Consider the following 12,696-nt stretch of genomic DNA (forward strand, 5'->3'; position numbering starts at 1 on the left):
GTTTTTCCTTGAATGAGATTTTGTAACATATTTTTGTGAAATTAATGAGCTTTATCTAAATTTTTATAATACTAGCACAAAATTATTCATAAATTATTGCATCTATTCTATTATATGCAACTTCTGTAATTGTTTTCTTTTTATTTTCAATTTTTTTCTTATAGCATCTTCTGTTTTAATTCAGTCTTTCTCCATAGCAATTTTTATCTTGATACTGAAAATATTTTACTTAATTTCCAGTTTATTGTTCACTTATGTAGAAGTTATATCAAGTATTATATACATTACTTTATATCACATTTCATGTGACTCATAACTATTATATGTGACTGATCTTATAATGATTTAGAGTTCACATATCTTCATAACTCAACTACCTTTACAAGCAAGATTATCTATGTCTGCATTAAAGAATATACCTCATTGCATTTCAGAAGTGTTTCAAAACAAAATTCGAAAATGCCCTATTATATTTTATGAAGATAGACATGGAAATCTGAAATTACTAGCAAATGGAATCCAGCAATATAGAAAAAGAATAAAATATAATCAGGAGATGAAATCTATCTTAGGAGTACAAAGTTGTTTTAACATAAATGCCAGTCCATGTAGTACATCATATTAATGAAATAAAAATGAGGAAAAAGGAATATTTCAATGGACACAGTAACAGCAAAATTATGTATCTAGCAAGAGACTTGTATGAAGAATATATAAAAAACACTTACAAGTCAGTGATAAAAAGACAACCCAATTTAAAAATGTGCAAAATATTTGAATAGACATTTCTAAAAGGAAAATAAGTAAATGACCCACAAGCACATTAAAAGATGTTCAGCATAATTAGTAATTTGGGAAATGCACAGCAAAATCACAGTAAGTTAGCATTTGGCACCAACTTCTGTAACTAAAATTTTTAAAAAGTCAAATGTAAAAGCTTCTGCACAGTAATGGATACAATCAACAAAGTAAAGAGACAACCCACAGAAATGGGAGAAAACATTTGCAAAATATTCATCTGATAAGGGATTAATGACCAGAATATATAAGGAGCTCAAACAACTCCATAGGAACAAAAAATTTAATAATCTGATAAAAAATGGGCAAAAAATTTGAATAGATATTTCTCAAAAGAAGACATACAAATGGTAAATAGGCACATGAAAAGGTGCTCAACATCATTGATCATCAGAGAAATGCAAATCAAAACTACAGTGAGATATCATTTAACCACAGTTAGAATGGCTTATATCCAAAAGACAGGCAATAAAAAATGCTGGTGAGGATGTGGAGAAAAGAGAGTCCTTGTACACTGTTGGGGGGAATGTAAATTAGTACAATCACTATAGAGAACAGTTTGGAGGTTCCTCAAAAAACTAAAAATTGAGCTGCAGTTTAATCCAGGAATCCCACTGCTGGGTATATATTCAAAAGACAGGAAACCAGTATATTGAACAGATATTTGCACTTAACAGTTTGTTGCAGCACTGTTCACCATAGCCAAGATTTGGAAGCAACCTAAGTGTCCATCAGCAGTTGAATAGATAAAAAAAATGTGGTACATACACACAATGGGGTACTATTCAGCCATAAAAAAGAACGATATCCTGTCATTTACAACAAGATGAATGGAACTGGAAATCATTATGTTAAGTGAAATAAGCCATGCACAGATAAACAAACATTGTGTGTTCTCATTTATTTGTGGAATCTAAATATCAGAACAACTAAAGTCATGGACAGAGAGTAGAAGAATGGTTACCATGGACTGGGAAGGGTAGTGAGAGGCTGGGGGAGGTGGGGATAGTTAATGGGTACAAAAAAGAATAGTTAGAAAGAATGAGACCTACTATTTGATAGCACAGCAGGGTGATTATAGTCAATAACAACTGTACTTGTTAAAATGGTGTTATCAGATTGTTTGCAACTCAATGGATAAATGCTTGAGGAGATGGATGCCCTATTCTTCAAGATGTGCTTATTTCACATTGAATGCCTGTATCAAAACATCTCATGTACCCCATAAATATATGCATCTACTATGTAGCCACAGAAATTAAATTTTTTGAATTTAAAAAATAAAGACTATAACAAGTGTTGGCAAGGATTCATAGAAATCGGAAACCTCATGTGTTGCTAGAGGGATTGTAAAATGGTGCAACCACTTTGCAAAACTGTTTGGTAGTTTCTCAAAATGTTAAAATTAGATTAACTAATGAGAGAGGTTATGCATGCATGGGGGCAGGGAGTATATGGGAAATCTCTGCACTTTTTGCACAATTTTGCTGTGAATGTAAAACTGCTATAAAAAAAAGTCTCTTGAGAAATAGATTAGCAATATGATTCAACAATTCCACTCATTGGTTTATACTCAAGATAATTGAAAATATATGATTACAAAAAACTTTTACATAAATGCTCATAGCAGCATTATTCACAATAGCCAAAAATTAGAAACACAAATATCCATAAAGAAAATGTGGTATATTCCCAAAGTGGAATGTTATTCAGCAATAAAAAGAAATGAAATACTTATACATGCTGCAACATGAATGAACCTTGAAAATATTATGCTAAATAAAAGACAACAGAACACAAAAGGGCACATATTTTATAATTTTATTTCTATGACATGTCCATAATAGACAAATCCATAGTGACGGAATGTACATTCATTTATGTCCATGGTATGAGGGAAGAGAGAAATGAGAAGTGACAATTAATGAGTATCAAGTTTATTTATGTGTTGATAAAAATATTTTAAAAGAAGATAGTAGTGATGATTGCACAGCTATATGACTATACTAAGCAACAATGAATTGAACAATTGAATTGCATGAAATTTGTGTTATGTGAATTATATCTCAATATAACTTTTATAAAAATGTACTGTTATAGTCATCTAACATAAAATTCATGTGACAATTATTATATTCAGAATAAGTAAATTGACTAATTTTTTCTAAAATTTCTGATTAAATTTTGTGTTTAACAAACACATCTCTAATTCATAATACTATAAAGACCAGTATTTTTATTGCTACTTAAATATACCTGAATATCAGAAGTGATGTAATATAAAACTGGATAAAAACATAACTTCCCAATTAAAAATTTTAAAAATGTGTGGAGCATCACTTGAATTTTCTGGTTTCTGACAAATGACAACTACATTAGACTGCTGGTTCTGTCTCCAAAAAAAGACAACCATTGACCAACACGTCTCAGACGATAATGTGAATACTTGGAGATTTTGCTAATATGTTTTTATATTTTGCTAGGTGTTGGGTGAGGCCAGAAATTCTGCATTTTCAACAAGCTTCCATTTGATGTAGGTGCTGCTGATTCACTTAGCTCACTTTGGGTAGCAAATCCTTAGAGGGAGTATAGAAGAGAGAGTAGCTTGTATCAAAGGAACTATCATAAAAGTAGAGAAAATCCTTGATGTATCAAAGCTGTGATAAACTGTGATGAGGGCTTGGCAGCAGCCTTGAGTATAAAAGACAAGATACAGGCATAGGATCAGAGATTAGAGAAGAGCTTTGAAGTTTTGTCTTTACTTTTTCACATCATCGCCTTGGAAGAATCATTGTCATCCTATTCTTACTGAGAGCCTTGTTTGAACAGCTACGGCCCATGCCTACTGGTATTCAACAAGTAAGAATATCAAAGCAGATTCAAAGTTGTGATGGGTTGAACAAAAATAGATGCCCTGGTTTCTACTCAGGGAGATAGAGAACTGGAAACTGTTTTCTTCCACCCTTATAACAACAATGAAAGTCAGACAAGCAGCAAATTCTCTGTTTTTCTTGAACCTTAACATAAAGCTGAGATTGCAGGGCAACAAAGAGAGACTTGGTTTTTACTGGAAGAAATGAGATGATAGCAATGGTCTACTTGTAGATAGAGCTAGACGCCATTAAGAATAGTTGAGTTAGGGTGATTGGCGTATTGGTAGAGGCCAAGTATACACTAGTGAGAGATCATGAAACTCCTAGTGGCCACAGTTATAGACTCTGCATCTTCTTGCAGGTGTTTACTCCACAAACTTCACATGTTGCTCACAGAAATGACTAAAGTGAGTCTGGAGAATGTGTACTCCTTAGTACCTAGTGTAGGGGCAGGCAATTCACTCCGACTTCTGTATATCTGTCTTAGTCCATTTAGTGTTGCTGTAACAGAATACTACAGATTGGGTAATTTATAAACAATAGAAGTTTATTTGGGTCATGACTCTGGAGGCTGGAAAGTCCAAGATAATTAGGTTGCATTTGATGAGGGCCTTCTTGCTGCATTATTACATTATAGTAGGCATCCCATAGCTAGAGAAGATGATAAAAAGTAAGAGCATGCAAGAAAGAGAGAAAAAGAGGGCCAGACTCCCAATGTAACTAACACACTCCTGAGATAACACCATTAATCCATTCATGAAGCCAGAGCTCTCATGATCTAATTACCTCCTAAAAGTCCCACTTCTATTGGTTGGTATTAACCATTGAAATGGCAATGAAATTTGAACATGAGATTTAGAGGGGACATTCAAACCATAGCAATACCTTATAGAACAGATGTGTTCATCTATGTTAATTTAAGGACAACAGATACTGTCCCCCAAAGGGCTCTGGTGAATACTCATTGCAGTTTAAAAAAAAAAAAGAAAAGAAAAAGAAAGAAAAAGGAAAAAAAAGAAAATAACAAACCACCTCTTGCCCCGAGAAAGGGGCTGGAATTCAACATTTCTGTCAAATAGAAAATCCCAAACAATCTATAAAAAGCTCCTAGAAATACTATATTCATTTATCAAAGTCAGAGGATATATGATCACTATACAATTAAATTAAATTATATTTCTATATATTGGCAGTAAACAATTGGAATTTAAAATAAAAATATACCATTTAACATAGAAGAAATACTTAAGTATCTAATATTAAGTACTTAGTATAAGTATGTATAACAAAATAAATTAGAGATATATATGCTATAAACTACAAAACACTGATGAAAGCAATCAGTGAGAAATAAATAGAGAAATATAGCATGCACATGACGTTGGAAAACTAAATGTTGTTAGGCTATCAAATTGATCTCTAGATTCAATTCAATTCCAGTGAAAATACCATCACATATTCTTATAGTCAATATCAGTAAGTTGACTCTAAAATATATATATAAAGGCATTGCCATTAAAATAGCCAAAACAATTTTGAAAAGGCGGAAGAAATTCTGAAACTACGATAATTAAGACTGGGTGGTATTGACAAAAGAATAGATGTGTAGATCAAAAGAATAGAATTGAGAGGCAAGGAATATATCTACACAAATATAATCAACTGGGTGTTTTTGGTTACAAAAGTGCAAAAGCAATTAAATCAAGTAAGGCTAGTGTTTTCAACAAATATTACTTGAATAATTGGAAGTGCATATGTAAAAAATGAGCATTGGCCTATACCTCACATCTCGTACTAAAATTATCTCAAAGTAGATCATAGATCTAAATGTAAACCCACACAACTTTTATATACATACATATATACACGTATATACATGTATACACATATCTATTTGTATTGGACTTTACCATATTAAAATTTCTGCTTTATGAAAGACTATTAAGAGAAAGAAAAGACAAGCTACAGACTGGGGGAAAGTATTTTTGAATAACATATTCCACAAATTTCTTGTATGCAGGATACATAAAGAACTCTCCAAATTCAACAACAAGAAAATAAACAACCAAATTTGAAAAATAGTCAAAAGTTCTGAAAAGATACATCACCAAAAAAAGATAGAAAGATAGAAAAAAGACATATATAAGTTGCCCAATACAATTACTATATAATCCAGAAATCTCTTTTCCAGCTGTTTCACCAAAATACATTAGAATTACCAAGCATCGTATGTTTTCACTCATAAGTGGGAGCTAAGCTATGAGGATGCCAAGGCGTAAGAATGATACAATGGACTTTGGGGACTCGCGGGGAAAGGGTGAGAAGGGAGTGAGGGATAAAAGGCTACCAACTGGGTTCGGTGAATACTACTTGGGTGCTGGGTGCACCAAAATCTCACAAATCACCACTAAAGAACTTACTCATGTAATCAAGTACCATCAGTTCCCCCCAAAACCTATGGAAATAAAACTTTTTTAAAAAAAGAATTGCTGATCACAATAAGCACTACATGAGATAATTTATAGCAGATTTTCCTAATTGCCTCTAAACTGAAGACAAACCAAATGCCCTTCAATTGGTGAATGAATACCTCATCTCTGTGACATCCATCAAATACAGTACTACTCAACAATGAAAACAACAACGACTATTGATTCACACAACATAGGTGCATCTTAAATGAATTTCACTAAGTAAAAGAAGCCAAAACAACAAGACCCCACAAGACTACATATTGATATTGTTTGATTCAACTTTTATGGCATTTTGGTAAAGGTGAAGTTATTGAGATTAAAAACACATCAGTGTTTGCCAGGTGCTAACAGATGACGGTAGGGATTGACTACAAAGGTGCAGCACGTTGGAATTTTGGGGGTGATCACACTTTTCTTTATGGAAATGTGATGGCAGGTACGTGAAAATGTATTCCTCAAGTTCCTATAGGTGTGTACCACAAAGAGTGAATGCTAGTGTAAGTAATTTTATAAAATCAACCAACATATGTAAGTAATTAAGGACAAAATGCAGGCTGTGGCAAATGAATATAACTGGGTTACAAATGTTGGACAACCTCACTGATGGTAATGAAAAAGAAATGAGCTTATTTAATGGTAAAGAAATATAACTGTGTAGTCTAAGACTAAAGGTGTAAAGAACTATACATACACACCTTACTCTAGTTTCTGACAGGGGTATGGCTTTGCAATTCTGAAAGCACTTTATATACATACTAGGGTTTAACCAATACATAAAAATATTGTAGATAATGAGATTGAGATTTTTCACTGTTAACAAAATAAGGTGGGGCGGGTGTCATAATGAATTCTGTGGTCCTGAGTTGTGATTGGTGGAGTGGGAAATAACAGGATAACAGTTAGTTGTTGCTGTATTGTTATGTATTCATTGACTTCTGCTTGGAGGATTTTTTTTTAATTCATTGTTTTCCTGTTATGGATGTGATTTTCCTGCAACAAGATATTAAGCTCCTTCAAGACAATTTCTGTCCCTCCTCTAATGTCTGTACAAGACAAGGATGTGCTATCTGGTGGATACAGTCTATGTCCACTGCTAACTGACTGATTCTCTATCAGTGTAAAAGGCTAGTAAATTATCTTTTTCAGATCAAAAGTTATCATTGCTTCCAGTCCAGAGAAAAATAAATATTAACTACAAAAGTGAAATATTTTGCTTTTATTGATAGCTATGGGTGGCAAATATACATTCAGAGAAGCACATTTTACTTAGGTAAGAGAGTACATCTTAGGTTCTCACCACATACATATACACAAAATAGTGACTATGTGAAGTGATGAATATGTTAATTAGCTTGATTTTGGGAATCACTACACAAGGTATACTTATATCAAAACACAATTTATGTTCTATATACATATACTCTTTATTTGCCAATTATACATCAAAGCTGGACAAAAAAGAGAAGCACATGTAGGTTATCATTATTCAGCCAACTGAATTTAAAATCATTAATTCGATTACATTGAATCTTATATCAAAAATGTTATTTATAAGTTTTGATCAGGAAATAATACTTTGAAAAATACAGAAGTTGTTTGCTATGCATTAGTTGAAAATCCTTAGTGATCTGTGTTTACTAGACTGATTTTGTGACAATATGCTATAGAAATCCTATAGAAATGTTCAATGTCATAGCTTCTCAGATGAAAAAGTACTGGACATTGTCTGTGAAGTGTCCAGGACATCTGTGATTCAAGAGATAATTAAGTCTTCCAATTCCAGGTGTAAAGCAATCCCGGTTTTGAAGCTAATATACATGTCATGGGTGTATCATGTCATGGTTTTTCTTCTTCACAGAAAATGGGAGTAGAGAGATTTGAGGGAATTTATAAAGATCACCATTTGCCCCTTGTTTTCAGACAAGAAATTGTCTCACACCATGAAGAATCTAGGCCATTTGGAAACTTATTGAAAAAGAAAATGTCGCATTCAACATAGGGATTATTTCCACTGTTTAAAATTAACCTCCACCCAATATAGGTCAGTATTTCAGATATTCACTTAAAATTCAGATACTTCCTCTTTTTGTTCCAGACTCAGCGTAGTAATCATGTCTGTAATTGAGAATTCCTTTTACTACTCCTCCATCCTGTATTGCCTTTTATAGGTCAATTTTGGTTTCTTTAAGCCATAAATCTTGAATTCCTTTCACATACTTTCCTGCCACGTGGATGAATTTCTGCAAGAAATAAAGAAACTGGCACTAGCACTCTAAAGTTAAAAGTAACTCCATGCCTTTTCAGTCTCCTTACCCATGTTGATGATCATTGATTAAACATTTGAACCTCAAGGTACTCAACAGAATGGGTAATTTTGAAACATTGAATTTCTATTCCATTATTACACTGTAGTGTATTTTTCAAAGCAGCTCATATAGAAATAAAGAAGACAGCTTGCAATTGTTTATAAAGCCTTACAGGTAACTCTCATAGTATTAATCTTCTGAGACTTAAAATTTGTTTTTATTTCCAATATAATATACTTTTTGTTTCCCAAGCAGAAGCAAAATTTTCTTTTACTATTGCTCAAATTTCCATAGGTATCTTTTAATAAAGTAAAACTATTGTTGTATTTACTCTCCCTCTTTTTTGAAACAGATGTTATCCCTTCTGAGAGATGGATAGTAAATTTTGACAAAGACCTTTCAGATGGTCTTGTTTTTGCAACACAGTTGGGAGCCTATTGCCCATTCTTGGTAAGAGTCGTTTTTATGCATAATGATCTTCTATTATTTAAAAAAACTTAGTGATTAAAATTTGAAGTGTATTTTCTGTAAACAGATTATTTCGAATGTCTTACATTCAAGTCAAACACCTGAATCTGCATGGCCAGCACTACCTTTTTGTTTATTCTTGCATTTTGATTGCAATAATTTATTACTGACAAATATTAATATTTAAATGATTCTTTGCCTAACTATAGAGAACACTTAAAAAACAGAATTTTTTATTCCATTACCAAAAGGTTTGATTTTTTTTTTTTTACAGATTGAGTCTCATTTTATAAATATGTACACACGACCAAAAAGTCCTGAAGAGTATCTGCACAATTGCCTGATTATTGTAAATACTCTTTATGAAATTGACTTTGACGTGGAAATACAGGTGGGTGCCTTTATATTAAACATTCTACAAACATTTTATAAATTTCTTTTGATAGCTTGCTCATTTATAATATTGCTTTGTTCATATTTTTGAAATTTAAATTGAAACAGGCTTTTGATGAGACATTGCTAAAATGTAGAAATTGAAATATGACTCCACAGAAATCGACTGGATATTTTAAAATTTGTATAATTATATACATCCAGCTGTGCATAATAGGAAAGTACTTCCAGTCCAAGTGCCTGAAACCCCAAAAATAAACATTGAGTGAATTATAATCATTACTCAAAATCTAAGAATGAACTAAAAGAGCATATTTATTTAAATATAGATGTCATATTATTATCTTCTAATTTAGTAGCAAAAATAAATTTTCACTTTAGTATTAAAATAAATGTTTGTATAGTGGTCATAATGGCAATATACGTTTTAATTGTATGTTGACCTTCAAGTTGTAATTCCTTTTGGCTTTTCACATCAAGACCTCAATAGCAATAATCAAAAATATATTGGATTCTTACTATTTTATGAGCCTTTTGTTTGTTACTTAGGGGCAATAAAATGGTAAAATAAATGATTCCTGACTTTGAATATATAAATTCATTAAATTATCAAGATATTTGCCTGTTAAAAGATAATGCTCTACTTATTTAATTGTTAATAATGGTCTATGAAAAAAATGAAGTATAGAATTCAGATGAAGGAAGAGATCAATGTGATGCAGACTGATACATCAAAGACAGTGTGGAAGAGACAGAATTTAATTGGCATCTGGAAGGGTGAATTGGATTTGCATTGGTAGTGGTAAGAAAGAAAGTTGTTTGCTCAGAGGAAGTAACATGAACAGAATGTAGAGTTTGAAAAAGTGACATACGTTAAGGAAATTGTGTGAATAGGTTTCCCCAGTTGAAGTTTGGTATTGGAAACAGAGACATAGGCATATACTAGGATATTGAATATCAGCATAAAAAAATCAGGAGTTTATCCTGTGGGCATTATGGGGGATAAAAGGCCTTTACTCTTGCAACAACAATTGTCAGGATGGACCGAGAGGAAAGGAACTGGTGACAGGGAACGCAGACCAGTCGCAATGCAATTTGAACTGGTCAAGGAGTACAGTAATTACTTTCTCTACTCTTATCATTTTAATTAGGATTTAAACATAATAAGCTGATGTAGGAAAAATCATGAGGTTTGCTAGAGTTGGTGACCAGCCACAAAAGAAGGGCATTGGAGAAAGACTATTATAACTAACTCTGAGTTTTTCATTCTGTGATCCAGAAAGACTGATGATACTAGTGCCCAAAATGATATCTTACACCTGCTGGAGAAATGAGTTTTATAATTGCTCACTTTTTTCTTTGTATTGAAGTCACTTGCATGTTAATGTCACTTTGTACCATTCCTGACATTTGTATTCTTTTTATTTCATTTTCTTTTCATTTATTTTTTTTTGGTACAATTGTAAAGGGAAACTGCAATCAATAATTTTAGTCAGAGAGTTCTAATAGTAGAATTTTAAGGACAAACTCTAATAAAAGTCTTTGGTTTTGAAGAATAAAAATATTACAATTCCCATAAATTCAACAAATTATTTAACCTCCCTCATGAAAGACACTGGATACATCCTTCAGGGGTGCAGATGTGACAAAACTACACTCATGCCTTCAAAGGTGTTGCAGACTAATAATCACAAGTTACATGAAACAAGGCTAATGCAAAGCGACAGTGAATGTCACAATAGACATAGAAATAATATGCTATGAGACTCAAAGGAGACAAGAAGTCACTCTAAAAAGGATACCAGGAAAATTTGCACAGAACACTTAGAGTTTAAGCTGACCCTTGAGAGTTTGGTAGGAGTTCATAAGAAATTTAAAATACCTTTGTTTAGAAAAACCATACATTGTGACTCTCTCCTTTGCTTTTTGATTTCCTCACATATGTTGGCTCAATATATTTATTTTATTGTATAGTCAAAAATAATTTAAAAATAAGTATCTACTAGATAAAAATGTAGAAAAGTTGTCCAAGATTTGATGAATGAAGTAATTGAAAGTCGGCTTAGCAGATAATGACCAAAACTTTATCAGCCAATTCCAATGCCCTAACTCTTTATTAGCCCAGATTTACCAACCACACTAAATGGCAGATTTAAAACCATCACCCTCTAATGAACTTATACATAATGAATTAATGCTGGTGCTTGTACTGGTCCACCATTGAATCCTGTAAAATTCAGCAATGGACTTAATTATTAATGCTTAAGTTTCTTCTTTATTATGTTCTTAATTGCAGCCTGAAAATTAGCTTCATAAGTTGCTGGGGTAATGTTATGTCTTTTTGGAGAATCCTGCCAGTAGGAATATACAGTTATTACATATTACATATTCTCCTTTTCATGACATGATTTTTATTTGAAGCAAAAATACTATGGAATTGTTTGACCACAGCGTAGAATGCATGTTTTGTTCCCTCATGCAAAGATAGATAACAAAATACATATAATAAGCATTTATGGAGCTTTAGTACACATAATTTAATGAGTAGTGATTGGAGCTAAGGGTGAATAGATATTCTAATTTTGTCCTTAAATTTTTTTTTTTTTTTTTAATCACTTGTTAGGGTTCTCTAGAGACACAGAAACAATAGGATATATGAGAGGGGATTTATTAGGGGGAATTGGCTCACATGAACACAGAGTCAGAGCAGTCTCATGATAGGCTGCCTGCAAGCTGGAACACAGAAGAGCTGGTGGCATCGCTCAGTCCAGAAGCCTCAGAATCAGGGAAGCCAATGGTGCAGCCCCTAGTCCAAATCTAAAAGCCAGATAGCCCCCAGAGAGCACTGGTGCAAGTTTCAGAGTCTAAAAATTGAAGAACCTAGTCTGATGTCCAAGGACAGGAGGAGAAAAGGTGTCTCACTCTGGAAGGGAGAGAAAGCAGAGAGTCCTCCTTCTTCTTACCTGTTTGTCCCAGCCCCAGCTGATTGGATGGTGTCTGTCCACATTGAGGGCAGATGTTTCTCTCTCAGTCCACTGACTCAGCTTCAACCTCCTCTGAAAACACTCTCACAGACACCCAGAAACAATGCTTTACCAGCCATTTAGGTATCCCTCAATCCAGTCAAATTGACACCTAAAATTAACCTTCACAATCACTAGGAAATTTTCAGCTTTAAAGAACAGAATTCTTGAGTAAAAGTGGTTTAAAAATAAGGAAATTTAATATTTTATAAAAAGATAAAGCCAGACAATCAAAGATTATAAGGATAATTGTTCAGTTTTTTAACAAAGTTATCAGAGATTCAGTTTTGCTCAGCCATTCTTGACCTACAGAGTGTTTTAGGACTCTGCACAAATAACTCCCAAATTTCTGCAGAAGTCT

At 32.9% G+C, this 12,696-nt stretch overlaps 1 protein-coding gene across 3 annotated transcripts in view; it reads left to right on the forward strand.

Moving 5' to 3' along the window:
- The window catches only part of CFAP47 (cilia and flagella associated protein 47), a 465,584-nt gene that overhangs the window by 209,421 nt on the left and 243,467 nt on the right, over positions 1–12,696 (forward strand). For all 3 annotated transcript variants that reach the window (NM_001304548.2, XM_017029452.2, XM_017029453.2), the window contains exons 34-35: positions 8,804–8,901; positions 9,194–9,310. In NM_001304548.2, coding sequence (NP_001291477.1) covers positions 8,804–8,901; positions 9,194–9,310 — 215 coding nt within the window. The remainder of the gene's footprint in view (positions 1–8,803; positions 8,902–9,193; positions 9,311–12,696) is intronic.

The sequence above is a fragment of the Homo sapiens genome, chromosome X (assembly GCF_000001405.40).
Source record: "Homo sapiens chromosome X, GRCh38.p14 Primary Assembly".
Lineage (NCBI taxonomy): Eukaryota > Metazoa > Chordata > Mammalia > Primates > Hominidae > Homo > Homo sapiens.